The sequence below is a fragment of the Homo sapiens genome, chromosome 17, assembly GCF_000001405.40.
Source record: "Homo sapiens chromosome 17, GRCh38.p14 Primary Assembly".
In the NCBI taxonomy this organism is placed as follows: Eukaryota; Metazoa; Chordata; class Mammalia; order Primates; family Hominidae; genus Homo; species Homo sapiens.
This window is the reverse complement of record NC_000017.11, coordinates 30271450-30293017: the sequence shown is the minus strand read 5'-3', so window position 1 is coordinate 30293017 and position 21568 is coordinate 30271450. Positions and strand designations below refer to the sequence as shown.

General features: G+C 40.7%; 1 protein-coding gene and 1 pseudogene across 1 annotated transcript in view, besides 3 other annotated features; both read left to right on the top strand.

The window, feature by feature from the left end:
- Window positions 664-1073: a silencer, noted in NCBI's record as "silent region_8395". NCBI's record gives its function as "represses an Ori minimal core promoter by ATAC-STARR-seq in GM12878 lymphoblastoid cells {active_cell/tissue: GM12878}" and the evidence as "EXISTENCE:reporter gene assay evidence [ECO:0000049][PMID:35858748]".
- BLMH (bleomycin hydrolase) overlaps window positions 1074-21568 on the top strand; it is a 43742-nt gene continuing 23247 nt past the window's right edge. Inside the window, exons 1-9 of the mRNA NM_000386.4 lie at window positions 1074-1211; window positions 1510-1707; window positions 3536-3645; window positions 5071-5212; window positions 6116-6204; window positions 7538-7630; window positions 18821-18976; window positions 20119-20277; window positions 20390-20457. Of these exons, the coding sequence (NP_000377.1) occupies window positions 1199-1211; window positions 1510-1707; window positions 3536-3645; window positions 5071-5212; window positions 6116-6204; window positions 7538-7630; window positions 18821-18976; window positions 20119-20277; window positions 20390-20457 (1028 nt within the window). The 5' untranslated portion in view covers window positions 1074-1198. The remainder of the gene's footprint in view (window positions 1212-1509; window positions 1708-3535; window positions 3646-5070; window positions 5213-6115; window positions 6205-7537; window positions 7631-18820; window positions 18977-20118; window positions 20278-20389; window positions 20458-21568) is intronic.
- Window positions 1274-1343: a silencer, noted in NCBI's record as "silent region_8394". NCBI's record gives its function as "represses an Ori minimal core promoter by ATAC-STARR-seq in GM12878 lymphoblastoid cells {active_cell/tissue: GM12878}" and the evidence as "EXISTENCE:reporter gene assay evidence [ECO:0000049][PMID:35858748]".
- Window positions 1794-1853: an enhancer, noted in NCBI's record as "active region_11992". NCBI's record gives its function as "activates an Ori minimal core promoter by ATAC-STARR-seq in GM12878 lymphoblastoid cells {active_cell/tissue: GM12878}" and the evidence as "EXISTENCE:reporter gene assay evidence [ECO:0000049][PMID:35858748]".
- On the top strand, window positions 4841-4947 carry RNU6-1267P (RNA, U6 small nuclear 1267, pseudogene; annotated as a pseudogene).

Below are 21568 nucleotides of genomic sequence, written 5' to 3'. Positions count from 1 at the left end.
GAACTGCGATGATTTTCAATCTAAGAAGACCTAGATTCTAGGTTACACACACACACACTCAACCTCATCGTTTTGAATAGCAGATACAGGGTTTCAGTGTTTTTGTTTTACTCTCTGTGGGTTCTATCCCAGCATCTTACTAAGGGCTGAGATTTCAGGGCATGAAACACGGAATCAACAAAAACAAGGTTTTTACAATCTCAAAACTTTGGGAAACTGTTGAGTTATCTTGAAAGCCTAGAGGGGGAGCATCAGTTAGTTTTGTAGAGAACTCGGCGAAACAATATTGATGCATACGGCTAGCCTCTGTCATCCTCCTGAGTTAAACCCAACGGGACATGCTGGACTATACAGGAGCCACTCGTGGACTCCGTGAAGACCAGATGGGTAGTGTTCTTGAAATGAGCAGATGTCTATTTGTAGAACTCTGGTAGTAGCTTTGGAGTGGGTGGGGAAGAGCTTGGTTCCCATTCCCCCTCAAAGACAATTATTTGCTTCTGATGAGAATCCAAGCAACAAGTTGCCATTGAGAATGCAGTGATTGGTCAGCAAACGAAGCCTATAGGAAGAGCCTTCGGGTGCATTCCTTGTGACATATCGACCCGTCCTAAGCCCGACGCTTAATTATGGGACCTCTCAGCTCCTCCCTCCCGCCTCGAGCTCCCTTTTGGCTTCTCACAAGGCTTCCTGGGGACGATTCCCCGATGCTAGAGTACTGGGGGTCTGGGCCCACAGGGAACCCGTCAGCCTCCCTCCTTGGAGCGGGCCTGATCCCGGGAGGGCGCCCGCGCGGCCCGGAGGCGGGAACCTAGGGGGAGAAGGCGCCGGCGCCGCCCTGGCGCGCAGACCATCTGTGCGGTCCTGCGCGGGGGCAGGCGCGGCCTCAGCCCCCGGGCGCTGGCGGACCCAGCGCGTCAGCTAGGCCGCCCCCGTCGGCCCTCCCCCGGGCGGGGCCAGCCCCGACGGCGCTGACTCAGCAACGCGAGGGGGGAGTTTTGTCCCTCCGCGGACCCCGTTTCTCCCAGCCTCAGCCTCCCCGCCGCCGCCGCCGCCGCCGCCGCCGAGCCGGTTTCCTTTTTCCGGCGCTCCGGGTGCGAGAGACAGGTCGGGCCCCCTAGGCAGCGAGCCGCAGCGCAATCCCGGCGCTCGCCCAAGGACCCTGGAAGCTACCGTTACCCCGCCGGGCAGCGTGGGCGCCATGAGCAGCTCGGGTGAGGTGCCGCCGTCCCCCGCCGCGGTCCTCTGGAGGAGCTCCGCGGTCCCCGTGAGGCCCGGCGGCGGGGAAGGCCGGGGGCTGGGACCCTTGGCGATGGCGGGGAGGGAGCTTTCGGGGCAGGCTGGATCGGCCTGGAGGGAGACAGCTCCTTGGAGGAGGATGCCGCTTATGGGTTTCCCCGCTGCAGCGGGCACCCCAGGATGCGCTTACGAAGTTAGATTCGGGACGCGGGAGCCCCAGATCAGCCCTTTCCCCCTCTTTTTGCGTTAAAATCCTGTTTGGTCTCCCAACAGGACTGAATTCGGAGAAGGTAGCTGCTCTGATACAGAAACTGAATTCCGACCCCCAGTTCGTACTTGCCCAGAATGTCGGGACCACCCACGACCTGCTGGACATCTGTCTGAAGCGGGCCACGGTGCAGCGCGCGCAGCATGTGTTCCAGCACGCCGTGCCCCAGGAGGGCAAGCCAATCACCAACCAGAAGAGCTCAGGTGTGGGCTTCCACTTCTCCCATACGTTCCTTGACCTTCCTGACAGCGTCCCATTTTGGTGTCTTATTTAAGAGTGGTCTTAAATTCGTACTGAAAGAACTGGTCGTAAATTCGTAAAGAATGAGGCACAGGTACAGGCAGGTCTAAGAACATTACCCATGTGGTTTGTTTTGCTGTTCTGTGGCTTGTTAGTACATGCGGTTAGAGTACAAAAGTGACATGTCCATGAGTATACGTTTGAGTGTAATTGACTATATTATGTTCCAATGCTGTGTGGTTTGTAGCCCGTGTCTTGGAGATGTATGGTCTTGGTCACAAAACAGAACATGTGAAAATGTTCATATCTTTGGAGGACTCCCCAGAAATGCCCTGAAGGCCCTATACTATGAAATAGAAAAGATACAATGTAATTACATTAAAATGTCATCAGATGTTACTTTTAAATATGCTTCTTGGTTACAACTGAAGCTAATGTGCTGATGGGCTCAGTTCCCACCAGTAGATCAGTTTGTAATACAGAAAAAAGTTCTGTTCTCATGCCTTGCTGGTCAAGAAGTCTCGTTTTGCTATCTGCTTTCTAGCACCACTCTCAGAAAAAACAGGTATAGTGAAAGATTGGATATCCAGCAATCTAAATAAGGAGCACATTCTCACAACAAAATTGTACTAAACGGATTTTTTAAAGTCTTTCTATACTTAAAAACGACCCCCCAGTCTATCTATACGGACAGGAAGCACATCAGTGCTTGTTTAGAGTCGGTTAGAACTCACAAAGCACACATTTAACGTGAGTACATTTTATTGTATGTACATTATACCTGAATAAAGTTGATTTTTTAAATGTTAAGGAAAAAGTCAAGACCTTACAATAATTAATGTTTTGCTTTAGAAGAAAGTGCTTGGAGTGGTGTGGGCTCTCAGGCTACAGATGATCCAGTTAGTAATGTCACAGTGGTCCTACATAGTTTAGATTGCAGTGACCCGTTAGGGAACAGGTCAGGTCTTACACATTTTGCAGTGTCACTTTTACATACAAAAGATCCAAATAGCATGTGAGTTGTGTAGTTTATTTTCATGCAGTTTTCACATCACCAGTGCATCCAGATCCCCTCTACTAGAAATATATAGCATATAGAAGAGAGGTGACATACAGGTAAATGTAAGGTAAAGACGAACTAATAGGCACTAGTGACTTTCATAAAACACTATAGTTAACTAGAGTTTTCTTCTTGTTACAAAATTATTTTTGTTTAATGTAGAATATTTGTAAATACCAAGTAAATATTTTTCTTGTATATTTGTCAAGTTTTGTGTGTGTGTGTGTGTTTAATAGTGTTTAATATGCATTGATACCTTATACATTGTTATGTAAGCTACCTATCTTTTTCACTTACCAATATATTATAAACATATTTTCATATTAGTAAAAAGGTTATACCCAATACAAGTCAAAGTTTTTCCCTCAGAATTTTCCCTCAGAAAAGAGATAATTTCCCTGTATTTAAGACCTTAAAAGACTTTTCTAATGGCGCTCTCAGTTAATTTATTTTGAAGTAGAGTACAATTTGGAGAAGGCATTACTCTGAAAAATGGATTCTTTATTTGATACGTAAAGAGTGTTTTTGTGTTAAAGATATTAAACCTTTGCATATATATTGCTAATAATAATTACCACCTTTCTTGTTTTGTTTTTAATCTTTCTGCTCTTTCTGATTTACTCTTTCTGAATTGTCCAGATCGTGTCATGAGTTCATTGGTGGGAAATACAGTTGGAGCAGTGCAGTCTATGTGAACCCTCATAATTTCTTGATGTGCTTTCTTGTTTCAGGGCGATGCTGGATCTTTTCTTGTCTGAATGTTATGAGGCTTCCATTCATGAAAAAGTTAAATATTGAAGAATTTGAGTTTAGCCAATCTTACCTGTTTTTTTGGGACAAGGTATGGGACAGATCTGGCAAGATTCTTTTTGTATTGATATCAGCCTTGGTAGGGACTGCCTCTTCTTTTGTAGCTTTTCCAGTTATAGCCTGCCCTTTCATAATAGGTGAGACACCTTTTATTCTGACTTCCAGAGTATCAAAAGTTGACTCTTTCAAAGGCAGAACTGTTTTTGGTTGGTAGGTGGCCATTTTTTTGCAATGAAATAAGTTTACTGACTCATCTTACTGCTTGCTTGTCTATTTAAAATTTTAAATTTTATATTCAATATTCAATTCAATATATCTCCCTTTTTAACATCTTTTTAGGTTATTTGTTCTTTTCTAGGACCTAATTTCCCTCTCAAGAACTTGTCTGAAAAACAGTAAATAATTTTATTTGATTGTTTATTTGTTTATTTATTTTTTTGAGACAGTCTCACCCTGCCACCCGGGCTAGAGGGCTGTGGCACAGTCTCGGCTCACTGTAACCTCTGCCTCCTGGGTTCAAGCCATCCTCTCAACTCAGCCTCCCAAGTAGCTGGAATCACAGGCACATGCCACCATGCCCAGCTAATTTTTGTATTTTTAGTAGAGACAGGGCATTTCACCGTGTTGGTCAGACTGGTCTCGAACTCCTGACCTCAAGTGATCTGCCTGCCTTGGCCTCCCAAAGTGCTGGGATCACAGGTGTGAGCCACCACTCCTGGCCATATTCCATTTCCTAATCTTCAAAATGTATATTACTGACCTGGTTTGGTGGCTCATGCCTGTAATCCCAGCACTTTGGGAGGCTGAGGTGAGAGGATTGCTTGAGCCCAGGAATTTGAGACCAGTCTGGACCTGGCGAAACCCCATCTCTACAAAAAATACAAAAATTAGCCACGCGTGGTGCACACCTGTCCTCCCAGCTACTCAGGAGGCTGAGGTAGGAGGATTGCTTGAGCTCAGGAGGTTGAGGCTGCAGTGAGATTGCACCACTGCACTCCAGCCTAGGCAACAGAGCATGACCCTGTCTAAAAATAAATAAGTAAATAAAATATATATTACATAGGTGTTCATTAAATGTTTTGTTTTAGCATTGGAATGTAAACACTGTACACATATACACAATATATTGGGATACATACACAGGTAAAAGAAGAAACTTCAGATATTCTGATGAAGTCAGATACTGATGTTTATTTACCAATTTTAGTTTAAAAATACTTATTATGGTGCTTGTTTCAGCATCGTAAGTCCCCAAACTGGGGTGATACAGAAAAGATTAGCATGGCCTCTGTACAAGGATGACATGCAAATTCATGAAGGTTTCATGTTTTTAAAAAGAAAAAAAACTATTATGTTGATTCCATGGTAATTCCAAGACTCCCATTCTGTTGATAATGCCAATAAAATTATTGACACTTTTTTCTTTTAATGTTATTTAACTTTCTTTACTCTTTAGGTTGAACGCTGTTATTTCTTCTTGAGTGCTTTTGTGGACACAGCCCAGAGAAAGGAGCCTGAGGATGGGAGGCTGGTGCAGTTTTTGCTTATGAACCCTGCAAATGATGGTGGCCAATGGGATATGCTTGTTAATATTGTTGGTAAAAGTTCTTTCTTTAATGGAACTGAAACTCAGCATGATTAAGTAAGCCTGTAGTTAGGCATGGGCCAATTCTTTGGTGGTTGTGTACAGAGTAGAATTGGTCTCCAAGAAGGATATATAGTTATTTCTAAGGACCTTTAGTTCACATTCTCACCTATAAAGTGCCTTCTTAAATGAGGATTAAGGAGAGAGCTACTGTGAAGGATGGGTTGGAGAAGAAAAGGTAGTATTAAGGAGAACTAATTTTCCATGAAAAAATTGTTTTCTTCTCCATTGATGTAATCAGGAAACACATTAAAACTGTAGCTGTGTTAAAATGTCTTCAAAACATCTTTTGGGGAAATCTCATCATGCTGAGCACTTTACAAAAGTATGATAGATACACTTGAGCTTGACCAAAAGGCTGAGAAGTGACAAAGTATAGTAGATAAAAAGGATAACATAGACAGATAAATATGCACATTAAAAACCTACTTAGGCTGGGTAAGGTGGCTCAGGCATGTAATCCTAGCACTTTGGGAGACCAGGGCAGGAGGATTGCTCAAGCCCAGGAGCTCAGTACCAGCCTGGGTAACATAGTGAGACCCTGTCTCTACAGAAAATAAAACAAATAGCTGCACATGGTATCATGCACCATAGTTGCCGCTACTCAGGAGGTCAAGCCTGGGAGTTCAAGGCTGCAGTGGGCCAGGATCGTGTCACAGCACTCCAGCCTGAGTGACAGAGCAAAACTCTGTCAAAAACAAAAAACAAAAAACAAAAAACCCTGCTTCATAATATGAAGTATAAGATTTTCTGAAGTAAGCCAGCAAAATATCGCCTATTTTTTGAAACAATCACTATTTTTGCCAGGGTTTCTAATTTTTTACCTTCTTTAACACTAGAATTTGTTTTCTTTTAGAAAAATATGGTGTTATCCCTAAGAAATGCTTCCCTGAATCTTATACAACAGAGGCAACCAGAAGGATGAATGATATTCTGAATCACAAGGTACAATATATGAAGCAGGGTGGGATTGAGTTTAGTGTACTTTCCTTCAAACTTATTTTTTAAAAGGGGTTCCTGGGTATCTCTGTATACAGTTTGTGTACAAGATAACTACCAATGTCAATGTCTGTCAAAAGCAATGTAGCTACTTAATAACTTTAAAAATAATTAATATTAGAGGGTTTTTCCTTTTAAAAAACTTCCACTTTTATTTCTGTTGATGTTAATGTTTTCTTAGGGGGATAGTTAGGAAATAAAGTCCCATGTCCAATTAATATTGGCCACAAGCACACAGGGTGCGGTGTCTCTCACTTGGTTCTAGTGGAGGTGGGCTAGGACTGCTTTATGTGCTAGTAAAACCAAAAAGAGCTATTCGCAAGATTCCCTTAAAGAGTGTGCTGTGTTCTGAGACTTCCCCAGACCACATCAATGTGGTTTATCCACCCACTAAAGATTTGTTGTAGTTATTGAACTGCTTTTTATTTGCTTCAGTTATCTTAATGAATCATTGTGTCTTCTCTACATAACCAGTTTTCCCTAGGAGAGTTATAATTCCTACGGGGATGCTGCTTTGCTAGCCAGGCATGGTTTTTGAGAACTGGGAGTTGCCAGAATCTGCTGTCCTAATCCATGAGGCTGAAATTGGATTTTTCATCTCCCTGGGAGAAAGATTACATTTTAAAATCAACTATAGGTGTGTCTCCCCAACATTAGAAGTAGACTATTTTCCACCCTGGAAACGCTGGGGATTCTTATCCAAAGGCTAAAAGATCATTAATAGTACGGCATTTGATTCCATTTGAAGTCAGAGCAACATCCTCTTTAGCACTGTGGTTAAATTTCAGACTCACCTTTATCTTGGTGAAAAAATGAAATGAAAAAATGAAAATTTTATTGGGGGCTGGCATAACCATAGTCATAGTCAGCCGGCAGAGAAGGAAAAATGGACAGCTATTGAAATTCTAAGTAAAAATCTATGAGAGTAACATAGTGGCATAATTATCTTGTCTCCTGCTTTTTCTGAGTGATAGGCATTATGTGATCACATGTTTTCCCCATGCCCAGACACATAAAACACCTTTATGCGATGTTTGCAGAGAAGGAGCAGTTCCGTCTAGTATTTTGGAGGAGTAACTTATGCCTTTTCTCCTTATGGAAAGCATTTTTAGCTATGTGTTTAAGTGGACAAGTTGAAGAAAAACACATTTGCCTTTATGAACTCTGTCATGGGTCTGGCCTGAGTTATACCTCAAAATAGAACTTGCGTTGGTCTATGAGAGTCATTTACAATTGAATTCGGGTAACTGTTGGAGTGCTGAATAAGTTTCTGTCATAGATGAGAGAATTCTGTATACGACTGCGGAACCTGGTACACAGTGGAGCAACCAAAGGAGAAATCTCGGCCACACAGGACGTCATGATGGAGGAGGTAATAACAAAATTTGGATTTTTTTGTGACCCCTCTAAGGAACTCTCAGAATATTCCCATCTGTTAAAGTAATGATTAGGAAGCTTTAGTCATGGCAACGAATGTTTAATTGAATTGAAAATTACTTATTTTACACTGAAAAAACTGAGCTTAAAACTTACTTTGCCTTTTAGTGTAGGACTTGGACTTGGATTTTCTAATTCGTAGTTTAGTGGTCTGTATAATCATTCTTTTATCATTTCATAAATATTAAATACCTTCTATGAGTTTGGCACTGAGGAAACAGATGAGAAAGACATAGTCACTGCTCTTAAAGAGCTCAGTCTCTTGGGAAAAAGAAAACACATCTATAATGATGATAAATCCTATGCTAGATGTGTAAAAACTGATTTGGTGGTCATAGAGGAGGGAGTGACTAGCTCAGTGAGCTGAAGCTTTCATAGGGAAGATAGCTCTTGAAAGAGTAGTCAGAATTTACCAGGTAGATAACAAGACCATTCTAGGCAAAAGGAATTGTATGAACAGTGCCATAAACAAAGATAGAACCTTCAGGGAATCATGTGGCTGAAACATAACTTTTTTCAGTATGATGGGTAGCAAATTAAGCTAGAAAGGCAGAGATGTAAGGGATGTTGGATCGATGCCAGAACATTTGGCTTCTTTCTGTAGAAATAAAGACGGAGCTATTGATGGTTATATTTGTTAATGTATGTAAAAACATTTTAGAAAATGTAAAAAGCACTAAAATATGAGGTGGTAATATTATTTATGATCAAGACAGTTAAGAAACTTTATTATTAATACTATCCATGTCCAGAATGAATATGCATAAAACTGCAATTGGTTTGAGGAAAGAATAAATGTTTCCGTTTGTCAGCCAGTAGGCCCTTTATTAGGCTTCCTTTCAAGACTGTATGGAGTTAAAATGGCCTACTTTTTTTCACTGCGATGGAAAACACTAATGCTTCACTTGTGTTTTCCTTTAAATCTTAGAGATGCAGCATAGTGGAGCAGTGGAGTGTGTAATCTCTGAAGTCAGGCTATCTGAGCTCTAGTCTTCTCATTACTTTATATCCTGGGACAAGTTCCTTAAGCTCTAAAGGCTCAGTTCATATTTAACATGTCTAGCCTAGTGCTTGGCACAATAGCTGTTTCTTAAGTATTTGTTGAGTGGACGAATGCAGAAATTTCATTTACCAAATGCATTTAAATAATCTCATTTTTATCTCTTAAATTCTTACAGAAGAGAGGCATCTTAGTATAGTAGGAAAAAATAGGCTTTGGAGTCAGACATACATGGGTTTAAATTCTGACTCTTTTACTTAACAGTCTGTGATCCTAGGTAAGTTACTTAACCTGTCTGAGATTCAGTCAGGATCTGAAATATTTTCCTTATTGGATTTTTGGGGAATCAAGGATTAAATGTAAGCATGCAAGGCATAGTGCCTGGCACGTAGCAGGAGTTCTGTAAATGTTACTTCTTCCCTTCTTGCTTGGAATGACTGTCTTGCAGAGGCTATATCTGCTACATAATTTGCCTTTATTTAGGGTTAGATTAAGATGGTGGGGGCCAGGCACGGTGGCTCATGCCTGCAGTCTCAGCACTTTGGGAGGCCAAGGTGGGCGGATCATAAGGTCAGGAGATCAAGACCATCCTGACCAACATGGTGAAACCCCGTCTCTACTAAAATACAAATAATTAGCTGGGCGTGGTGGTATGCGCCTGTAGTCCCAGCTACTCGGGAGGCTGAGGCAGGGGAATCACTTGAACCCAGGAGGCAGAGCTTGCAGTGAGCCGAGATTGTGCCACTGTACTCCAGCCTGGTGACAGAGTGAGACTCCGTCTCCAAAAAAAAAAAAAAAAAAAAAGATGGAGGTATAGTAGGAATGAAGGTTCTGCAAACAGTTGTGGAAAAGGGCCCAGATAATACTTGCTGTAGATAATAAGCATCCTTTTGGCTTTTGATGTTTGCTTTAATGATCTTTGAACTAATGATGTGTCTAAGATTGATGTCCTCATCATTGGTAGAGCGTGGTAATTGGCTGGTAAGAATTAGGGCAGATATGTTTCACATATTTTTTTCCTCCCCTACTCCTGCCTCAGAGAAATAGTAGATCCAACTTTACCAAATCCTGAGTATGAATGTTTTATAGGATTATTTACTTAATGATTCTACCTAAACTATTTACTACAGAATTCTGTGTGTAAGGGTTTTTTCCCCCTTAGAGACAGAGTCTTGCTTTGTTGCCCAAGCTGGAGTGCAGAGGCGCAGTCATAGCTTACTGTAACTTTCAACTCCTGGGCTCAAATGCTGCTTCAGCCACCCAAGTAGCTGGGACTACAGGTGCATGCCACCATGCCCAGCTCATTTATTAAAAAAATTGTGTAGAGATTCAGTCTCACTATATTTCCCAGGCCGATCTCCACCACCTGGGCTCAAGCAGTCCTCCCACCTTAGCCTCCCAAAGATTGTGCATATTATAAAGTGTGAGCCGCCATACCTGGCCCTGTGTATAAGGTTTTAAAATTTTTACAATCCCCCAAATGACTTCTTTTCATTGAACCTGACTCTTTGGTAATGAAGAGTCTAGCTGCAGTTTTAAAGCCCCAAATTAGTACCTATGATTTGTGTAACCTTGTAGGCAAGTCAAAATGATGGCTTAATCAACAGCCGTGAAGCTCAGATAGCTTTGAATAAAATGTGTTTATGCTAAAGGCATTCTTACTGAGAAGTGAGACGCAGGCTGCTTGTTGAGATGACAGGCAAGGCAGATCTGTTTTGGAGATGTGTAGTTACCTCTATTGCAATGTTATCTCAGTGTCCATTTTTTTAGCCTGCGGATCCCCTTAAGATTATTAATGTATTCTCAGTTGGGCGCAGTGGCTCATGCCTATAATCCCAGCACTTTGGGAGGTCAAGGCAGATGGATCACTTGAGGCCAGGAGTTCAAGACCAGCCTGGCCAACATGGCAAAACCCCGTCTCTACTAAAATACGAAAAAAACATCTGGGCATAGTGGTGCATGCCTATAATGCCAGCTGCTTGGGCAGCTGAGACACAAGAATCACCGGAACCCTGCAGGTGGTGGAGACCAAAATTGTGCCACTGCAGTCCAGCCTGGGTGACAGAGCAAGGCTCTGTCTCAAAAAAAAAAAAAAAAAAAAAACCTTGTCTGTTAAAAAGCAAAACATAGCCAGGCATGGTGGTAACACTTGTAGTGCCAGCTACTTGGGAGGCTAAGGCAGATCACTTGAGTCCAGAAACCCAGGAGTTCAAGTGCTACCTGGGCAACCTAGTGAGACCTCATTTCTAAAATCAATCGATCAGTCAATCAAAGACCAAAACCAATATTTGTCAGTGCCACAAAAAGGGAAAAGAAGCCTTTATGATTGACTTAGGAAATTCTATAGCAGTGGCTGTCAGCTATTGAAAACAATATATAGGATAGGCCTAACTTGTCCCAGACTCACAAAGTCAGTTTCCCTGGAATAGAACCTAGTTATCTGTATTTTTATTTTAAAGACATCTTCGATTAAAAAATATATTTTTAACATCAAGTTTATAAAATGTTCAGATGTGTTGGCATATGCTAGGAGGAGGCTGAGGTGGAAGATCACTTGTGCCCAGGAATTCCAGGCTGCAGTGAGCTATGATTGTCACCACTGCACTCCAGCTTGAGTGACAGAGCGAGACCCCATCTCAGAAACAAAAAATTTTTCAGGGTATATTTTGGAAGTGAAGCTGTCAGGACTTGCTGATGAATTGGATGTGGAGGACGAGGAAAAGTATTGGGATAATGTCCTGGGATCTTGAAGGGTGAACTTACAGATAGGAAAGAAGGCTTTTTGGCAATTAGGGCAGTGTGAGGGAACCAATGTGTAGAAAAGGGTAGCAGGTGTGAATGAGAGAAGTAATAATTGAAGAAGCAAGGTTTTGGAAGAGGGAAAGAATAGATGTGGTCTAAAGTAGTGCCATCAGACTTTAATGTGCACATGAATCACCTTGGGATCTTGTTAAAATGCAGATTGATCTAGTAGGTGTGGGGGTGGGGCCAGATAGTCCGCATTTCTGTTTCTTTCTTTGATATAAACACCTCTAGAAGTAATCTCAAGATCATTATTTAACTATTAGTTATCATCTATATGAGTTCATTCCCTTTAACATCACAGAAGTGCACATACTTTTAGAGTGTACCTTTTTATGTCTTTCTGTGCCCGAAAACATTTAATGCCTCCAGAAGGCATCTGCTTTTCTGCCTGCTTAGGTGTTTTACTTTAAAAAAAAAAAAAAAAACAACAAAGAAACAACAAAAAAAAAAACACAGATCTTTGCCCTTCTTTCATTCCCTACCAGAAAGTAGTAGACAGCTGTCTTCCCTTCTCTTCTTCCTCTGTGAATAAACAGTGAATAAACAGTCACTAAGGTAGGTTCCTTACTCCTTCTCTCCTATAACTAGCTCATTTACCCACAGCACTGAACTTTTTTCAAAGTTGAGCTGTTTTCTGTGACTGCTTTAGTGTTCTTATGACCATTCTATTCTTTGATCAATAGGTCGTTTTACCTTTGAGACTACTTTCTCCATCAGTAAAACTAAAAAAAGTTGGGGTAGGCTGTGCATGGTGGCTAATGTCTATAATCCCAGTGCCTTGGGAGGCCAAGGCAGGAGGATCACTTGAGCACAGGAACTTGAGACCAGCCTGGCCAACACAGAGAGACCCCATCTCTACAAGAAAATGAAAAAATTAGCTGGATATGGTGATGCGTGCCTGTAATTCTAGCTACATGGTAGGCTGAGGCAAGAAGATCACTTGAGCCCAGGAGTTCAAGGCTGCAGTGAGCTGTGATTACACCCCTGCACTCCAGCCTGGGTGACAGAGGGACACCCTGTCTCTTAAAAAAATAAAAAGAAGTTGGGGTAAATGATTGTAGGGTTTTGCATTTTTATACAGTAGAAGTAACTAATATTTTTACAGTGCTTTAGACTTTACTGTACTACTTTCTCAAAAACCCAGTATTGCAAATACAAATGAAGACTAAGATTCTGTCTCTTCTGCAGTGGTTTCAAGCACTGAAATCTTCTAGCCTTAACAGTGGAAAGGTAAAATTAGACACAGATAATAAGAACTTAGAATACTAGCATGAGAGTTTGCCCCAATTCAATAGGCAATGAGAAGTCAGGAAGATTTTTAAGCAGAAGAATTATATGAAGTTTTGCTCTCTTTCAAGCAGTTTGGTTGTTATCTTCGAACTACCTTACTGTTCTAACCTCTCCTTCATTCTGTGTCTGCCTGTAGCTGCCTTAAAAACTGTTGAAGGTTCTCACGCTTCTAAGATTTATAACTGACTCTCAACTGCTGCATCTTTCCTTCTTCCTCTCACTTGATGTCTGTCATGGGCGTGGGAATTAACTAAGGCCCATATCATTTGTCTTTAAATTGGGATCTACACATTCTTTCCCCTTATTTCATATCTCATTCTTTTACCTTTCTCTCCTGATTCTGTTTCTTTTACCATGCTACACTTCAGCAAGTCATTTAAAATAAACAGATCTCTCCACTAGGGAGATTTGTTTTTTTATTTTTTTGAGATAGTATCTTGCTTTGTTGCCCAGGCTGGAGTGCAGTGTTACGATCACAGCTCACTGCAGCCTCAACCTCCCAGGCTCAAGTTATCCTCCCACCTCAGCCTCCCAACATGCTGGGATTACAGGCATGAGCCACTGCATCTGGCCTGAAAATATTTTTAGAGATCAGTTACAATGGAGCTCCTTTATAAAATGAGACTTGAGAGGTAGGACCCTTCTTTATAATTCACCTTCTTATGAAATATATTTAAACTGGAAATAGGGCTTGGACCTTTCTGGCACCAGCTGCAGTTTTTCTAGTTATAGGTTGCTAGAAAGGGACTATATATAATCCACATTGTTTTAGGTTAGTTTAAATTCTCTATTTAATTAGCTAAAGATATAAAATCTTAATCAGAAGACAAATGGCCCCAAGAGGCAAGTACAGATGCACTCAGTGTAGCTTCCCTTGACATACAACTGCCCCCAGGGGACAAGCAAAGGGTCTCCATCAATCAAAAAATTTAGCTCAATTTTGGGCAGGCTGCCCTTTATACTCTGGGACTCATATCACAATTTTAGGGGACCTTTCTCAGTAATCTATATTTAAGGGAATAATTAGAATCATTGGCTTCTTCTGTTCTTTTTAAACCAGATTTAGAATTAATAGGATCACATCATTATTCGTTTGAGGAGTTGAGGAAAAGCAGAATCAGTTGCCAGGTGTCATTGAGCCGTGTATATCTTTGCCTTCAGCTTTCCAGCATTTTGGAAAGCCCATATTCCAAGTCCACCCCCTTTATCAGATTGGTTCTAAATTTGGTTTGAAATGACAAAAGTGCTTGGGGCTAGATGTGGGGCTGGGTGTGGCGGCTTACGCCTATAATCCCAGCACTCTGGGAGGCAGGCAGATCACTTGAGGCCCGGAGTTCAAGACCAGCCTGGCCAACATGGCAAAACCCTGTCTCTACCGAAAATACAAAAAATTAGCCAGGCATGGTGGTGCATGCCTGTAATCACTGCTACTTGGGAGGCTGAGGCATGAGAAATGCTTGAACCTGGGAGGCAGAGGTTGCAGCGAGCCGAGATCGTGCCACCGCATTCCAGCCTGGGTGACAGAGTGAGGCTCTGTCCCCCGCTCCCCCCCACAAAAAAAGTCACGTGTTCGTTAAATATTTCTTAACATATGTATCTGACACTATTCTAGGCATTGGAGATTAAACAGTGAACAACACAGAAAAGAATACCTATCTTTGTGTAGTTGATGTTCTAGTAGGGAAAGACAAAGTGTATAAGAAGTATAATATGCCAGAAGATAAGTGCAATGGAGAAAAGTAAAGGAAAAAAGATGTGAAGTACTGGGATGGGAAGTGAGCAATTTCAATTAAAGTCACAAATACATTTCCCTAAATGGGCTAATTGTTGGTTTTAATATTAATTTAATGTGTAATTATATTCTGAGGGATATGGTTGTACTCTTATTTTACTCAATTCTGTATAATCTCTTGTGTTCACTGTTCAGTATCTTTTTGTCCTGGATGCCAAGTAGATCTTGTGAGAAGCAGGTGACACTCCAGTGTTGCCCACCAGAGAGCAGAGTTGGATATCTAAAGCTCACTGCCCAGGGAATGTTATTTCAGAACTGCAGAGTCTCTTATCAAGAAAATATAGTATCAGAGACCATGGAAATTATTCTTTGGAGCATTTTTTTTTAATGAGAGCTTATTTAATTAACTATTGTTATTTGGCTCAGAGTCAGATATTCCTTCCAAAGTGTTACAGACTGACTTAAATATTAATGACTTTGGATAATTTATAGTCATGGTAAACAAATAGTATAAAACAATGCAACATGTCTCAAGTTACAAAGTTTTACTAGAATCTAAAAGAAATATCACCCTTATCCTTATTTATGCCTTAATTATATTTTTATTAAAATTCAGATTTATAAAATATATGTGAAGGGCATAAGCATTGTTTTATAAAAGGACTCACTATAGAATTCATTTAGATAGCAGAAATGCATATTTCCTCTAATGTATTTGGGAGAAGGAGGAATTTAACACTTTTTACTTTAAACAGGGAGTCAAGTACATAATAAGGTATTTTGCAAATTATAGTGTAAAACATTTGTATTTATCTTTAGAATATGTTTAAAAGTAACCAGAAATTCACTTAGTTATCTTCATCTTAGTTGGGCCTGGCATTGCCTCTCCTTTTTTGGCCAGGGCCTGGCTGAGCTGAATTTACCACCGTTGGATAACTGAGAATTGATTGAAATGGTTCCACTACTACATGTAGATACACATGTAACAGTAGTTACTAGTTGAAAATACACATCATTTAGGTCTTTAAAACCTTTCTAATCTAAGTATGTTCTGACTGTACACCTTCATTGTCATTGACTTGACCATAGTTACCAGTGGCAATGTCTTCTTCATAATGACAGATGCCTAAAGTTGTCATTTGTAGCCTTGGCACTGAGTAAATACAAAATGAATGTGAATCCCAAACAGAGCTCATTAATCCTTGGCTAGAGTAACTCAATTACGGTTGCTTATGTGATACTCTGCCTCCTTTCTGTGGTAGAAACCAACTTGGGAAGGATATAACGTTAAAAGAGAGATGGTTTAATGACTAGATGTTCAGGCTCGTAACACACACAGTAAATCTTAATAAAGGAAGGTTCTCTCTTGGAAAACAGAACAAAACAAAATGACAGGCAAGCATAACTTCTTCTCTAAGTTAACTTGCTTCTGTTAAGATAGAATCACAGCAGTGAACAAATTGCTCATATACACAGCAATGTGTGTGAATCTCACAGACATTATGTCAGCCAAAGGAAGCCAGACACAAAAGATAATGTGTTCTATGAATACTTTTATACGAAGTTAAAGGACAGGCAAAACTAATCAATGGTTATAAAGTAAAAACAGTGGTTATCTGGTGGAAGTTGTGGGTTACTTAACAGCAAAGGAGCCAGAGAACCTCCAGAGCCTGGAAATGTTATGTATATTGATATGAATGATGGTTACATGGGTATATATGTATGTTTTTAAAAAACGAATTGTTAGTGTGTTTTACACACTAAACATATGTTTTGCCTAAGTTAAAAAGTAAGAAAAAGGAATTAGGTCACGGAGTTTGGATTTGTTATGGGAGGTAATAGGGAAACATTGGATCTTCAACAGGGACGTGAGTTGAGAAAAGTAGTGCTTTTCAAATTCTCCTGTGGTGATATGGAGAATGGAACAATGTTCAGATCAACTGGTGTATCTGTGTCATGTCGCCAGCACTGCTAGATGCTATAAAGGACACAAAATATCCATGATCTGGTTCTTATCTTTAAGAAGTGTATAATCTTTTATGGGAGACAAGTTATATGAAATCTAGAAAGTTACAGTAAATGGTAAATAGATGGAGTTTTGGAAACAACATATTAAAGTCAGCCCTAAGTTCAAATCCTAATTCTGCCATTTACTGGCTCTATGACTTCAGGAAAGTGATTTATTTCCCTGAACCTTGATATCCTTATCTGTAAAAGGGGGATAATATCCACCATCTTTGTTGAGAGGCTTAAGAAATATGGTAGTGAAAGATAGTACAGCAAAGTAGACGGTCAGTACATCTTCCCTTTTTAAATCCTGTAGCCAAGGAGCAATATTTTGTTGTTGTTGTTGTTTTTGACAGCATGTGACCTCAGTTTAGATTGTGGTTTTCCACTTGCTGGCTGTGTGACCTTAAGTAAATTACTTGGTTTCTTTGTGTCTCAATCTCTGATTTAAAAAAAAAAGGTGAAGGGGAAGTGGAGGGAAATATACCTTGAGAGGGTATTATGAGAATTACGTGGACCTAGCAAATACATAGTATCTAGCACAATATAGGCACACTTGGTAAATATAAAATCTGTTTCTGTTGAATGTGATAGCGGATAGAAATGTGTAGTATAAATAATGCAGGTAATAGATGATTGGATCAGGGTGGTGACTGTGGGTGCAAAAGGGACAGGCAGATCATAGTGTTATGTTTTTAAAAAGACAAGGACATTTGATATAGAAGATAAAATACTTTCTTTATTCTGTCCTTGTGCAGGGTGTATCTCTTTTTCTATTTTTGCATTGCTTTCTTTTTTTTTTTGAGATGGAGTCTCGCCCTGTCCCCCAGGCCAGAGTGCAATGGCATGATCTCGGCTCACTGCAACCTCTGCCTCCTGGGTTCAAGGGATTCTCCTGCCTCAGCCTCCCGAGTAGCTGGGATTATAGGTACATACCACCATGCCCAGCTAGTTTTTTTGTTTTGTTTTGTTTTGTTTTCTTTTGTATCTTTAGTAAAGACAGGGTTTCACCATGTTGGCCAGGCTGGTCTCAAACTCCTGACCTCATGATCCACCTGCCTCAGCCTCCCAAAGTGCTGGGATTACAGGCGTGAGCCACTGTGCCCAGCCTTGTTTTTGCATTTCTATAAAATGAAAATAATATAAAGTATATCCTTGGATCGTAATGATGTTAACTTGAAGGTGTTGTGACATCATTAGAAAATATGTTGTCTCACAACCCAAAAAATTATACCTTATTACTAAAAGTCACTCCTCTTCTTTTTATTTTTGAGACAGGGTCCTCACTCTGTCACTCAGGCTGGAGTGCAGTGGTGTGATCTCAACTCACTGCAACCTCTGCCTCCTGGGCTCAAGTGGTCACCCCACCTCAGCCTCCTGAGTAGCTGTGACCACAGGCACAGGCCACCACGCCTGGCTAGTTTTTGTACTTTTTTTTTTTTTTTTTTTAAACCATGACTCAGCCCTCAGGAGATCCTGAGAACATGTGCCCCTAATTTTTGTATTTTTTGAGATAGGGTCTTGCTCTGTCACCCAGGCTGGAGTGTAGTGGCACGATCATGGCTCACTGAAGCTTCTGCCTCCTGGGCTCAAGCGATCCTCCCTCCTCAGCCTCTTGAGCACCTGGGACTACAGGCATGAGCCACCACGTCCAGCTAATTTTTTTCTTTTTTAAGATGAGGTTTCACTATGTTATCCAGGCTGGTCTTGAACTCCTGGGTTCAAGGGATCCTCCAACCTCAGCTTCCCAAAGTACTGGGATTACAGGCATGAACCACTGCACCTGGCCCTCCTCTTCTAGTAATACTTTTAACAGGCATTGTCATCCAACTCCAGCTGAAAAATTAGTTACTTTCCTATGACTAGAGACCCCTGTTGTAATAAGGAAAACATCAATGTATAAAGGGAAGGAAATCCATTTATAAAATTTGTCATTTTTTGGTTACTTGAAAAATAATCAGAGCAGCAACTCAGATCTTGCTGGGTATCAATGGTAGACAGATTCTTGGCTAAGGAAGTTTAAATTTTCAGGACAAGTACTAAGCACTAAATGTTAACATTTCAGAATCGCATTGTTCACAGTGTTTATTTGAGAACTCATAAGTTGACTGATAACAAATCTCAGACATCGGCTTTCCAGTTTTTGACGCAGTATTAGATTTCTTGTGAAATTTTTAGCTTGAATTTAGCCACTAACTTCTTGTGTTTCCTAAGCTTAAGGAAAATGAAGAGGTGAAAAAAATAACATTTCCCCCTAACCATTGCTCGCCTTTCCTCCTCCTCTCTTCCAGATATTCCGAGTGGTGTGCATCTGTTTGGGTAATCCACCAGAGACATTCACCTGGGAATATCGAGACAAAGATAAAAATTATCAGAAAATTGGCCCCATAACACCCTTGGAGTTTTACAGGGAACATGTCAAGCCACTCTTCAATATGGAAGATAAGGTTGGTGAATGGCACTGGTAGTCACTGGCTGTTTACTTTCAAATGGCTGTTAACCACAGGGAATTGTATAAGATTCTTGGTTAGCATGTATGAGTATCAAACTAGACAGCAAACAAACATTTTTCCCCACTTCCTCTGAAGTATTTTATGCAGCTAATGAAGTTGGTGGTGCCAGGATTTATCAGCTTTTCCACAATGTTCCTCTTCAGAGACTTTTTAAACTGTAAGCCAGCAGTCATTTTAATTCCCACATGCGCCCCTGTATAGGACCAGAATCATTCTCAAGTGCAAAACAATGAAAGTGTGTTGGGTATTTCTTATCGTGGATTCAGAGCACTTTTGCACTGAGGTCCCCTCGGGGAACTCTCCTGTTGAAGGGAGTAATCTTAGTTTTTCCTGTTCCCTTTAGGTCTTCCTCATCTGCCTAGTAGGAGGATCAGAGCCTCTTCCTTTTATTGGCTTCTTGATCCTCTTCCAAGCAGATGCCTGTCTTGTAACTTGAGAACAGGGGCCTTGTGATTAGCTCTCCAATTTTTCTTACTCAGTGCATGTTATTTTTCAGAATGAGTTTTGAGGGCCGGGTGCGGTGGCTCATGCCTGTAATCCCAGCACACTGGGAGGCTGTGGTGAGTGGATCACCTGAGTTCGGGAGTTCGAGACCAGCCTGGCCAACATGGTGAAACTCCGTCTCTACTAAAAATACAAAAATTAGCCAGGCATGGTGGCGCACATCTGTAATCCCAGCTACTTGGGAGGCTGAAGCAGGAGAATCACTTGAACCTGGGAGGCGGAGGTTGCAGTGAGCCGAGATGGCGCCATTGCACTCCAGCCTGGGCGACAGAGTGAGATTCTGTCTCAAAAAAAAAAAAAAAAAAATTGCTTTTGGAGCAGTTCTTGCTAGTAGGAAAAACAGGTAGATGCACCTCCTAATTGTGTCTCTTACGCGAATTAGAATAAGCAAGGACCTCTCTCACATGTATTTTGCCACCTTGTGTTTCTTTGTTACTTAACAATGTGGCTGTAGTACTTAGCTTGTAGGCAGAGATGATGAGCTTGATGGAAACATGAACCTAGAGGAGAGCTGTGTGTTGCTTGACATTCCTGGTTTTGTGCCCTAATTAATGTGTTCTTGATCTTGATAGATTTGTTTAGTGAATGACCCTAGGCCCCAGCACAAGTACAACAAACTTTACACAGTGGAATACTTAAGCAATATGGTTGGAGGGAGAAAAACTCTATACAACAACCAGCCCATTGACTTCCTGAAAAAGATGGTTGCTGCCTCCATCAAAGATGGAGAGGTTGGTATTGTTTCTGTATTTTGCACATTGGGGTTAAAACATCTTTTACTTCTTTGGTATAATAGGAAGATGGGGTTTATGTTGACTTTCTTCCTCTTTCTTCTGTTTCTAGGCTGTGTGGTTTGGCTGTGATGTTGGAAAACACTTCAATAGCAAGCTGGGCCTCAGTGACATGAATCTGTGAGTGCAGGAAATTTAAAATGGAAAGTCATTTGTGGGTTGTTGCTGTTGGAGTGTGCTGTTGGTACAAAATGACTCTGCCGAGGTTCATCCAAAGATGAAGGTTGACCTAAGGGCGCGTCTCTTTCTTTGCATCCTTTAGAGTTTGAGGACTCATAGCAGAAACTCCACATACTTAAACACTCTAACCCAGGACATCAAAATCCCACTTTCTATCTGAGTGGAAATCGTTGGGCGTTCCTAAAAAGCCATCCTCTATGAGAAAGACACTTTAAAAAAATAATTGACTATTGCGGAAATGTGTTCAGTGCATTTGGGAGTGTAATGAAAGATTTTCCAGAGCCCCCGTTTGCTATGTTACTTTGGTAACTTTGTATTTTGTCATTGTGACAAGTGGGACTAATTTGCATGCATACTTTATAGCATTCCTCCTGGTCATTTATGACAATGAAGGTTAATTTGTAAACTAAATCATATAGGATTCCTTGACTGTTCACCATTCTCTATTTTAGGGTTACTTATAAATAGTTGTTACTTGTAGGAAGTTGAGTAAATATCTTGATAGAGAAATCTGCTAAAAAAAAGAATTAATGAGGTTTAAAAAATTTTTGAAAACAGGTACATGCAACTCCCAAGTGTGTCTCTCACACTAACTAGAACATGCAAGGACCTCTCTCACATGTATTTTGCCTTTTGTTTCTTTGTATTTAACAATGTGAGTGTAGTGCTTATGCAAAAATATTCCCCAATATTTTGGACATTATTTATTTAAATTTTAATCAGCAGTGATTTAAATGAATTCAGAAACTGGTTGGTTCCACCAGCTCAAAAGAGATCAGTTTTCTAAGAAGTTACTTCAAACGCTTTTTTCATTATTTTTTAAAGTTTTCTTGCCTAAATGACAATGTAAACTTGTCAGCTTCTGATGTGGAGAATTTATGTTTAATCATCTCCTTTTTTTCCTGCATACTCTTGTGACACATAGAGAATGGACTCCCACTGAGAGACTAAGTTCTGCATGTTCCATATTCTTTCTGAAGAGCTACAGCTAGAGCCTTATTTATTTGGAGCTGTTGAGCCCCTTCAGTTTCTTCTGAATTCCTTTTACAAC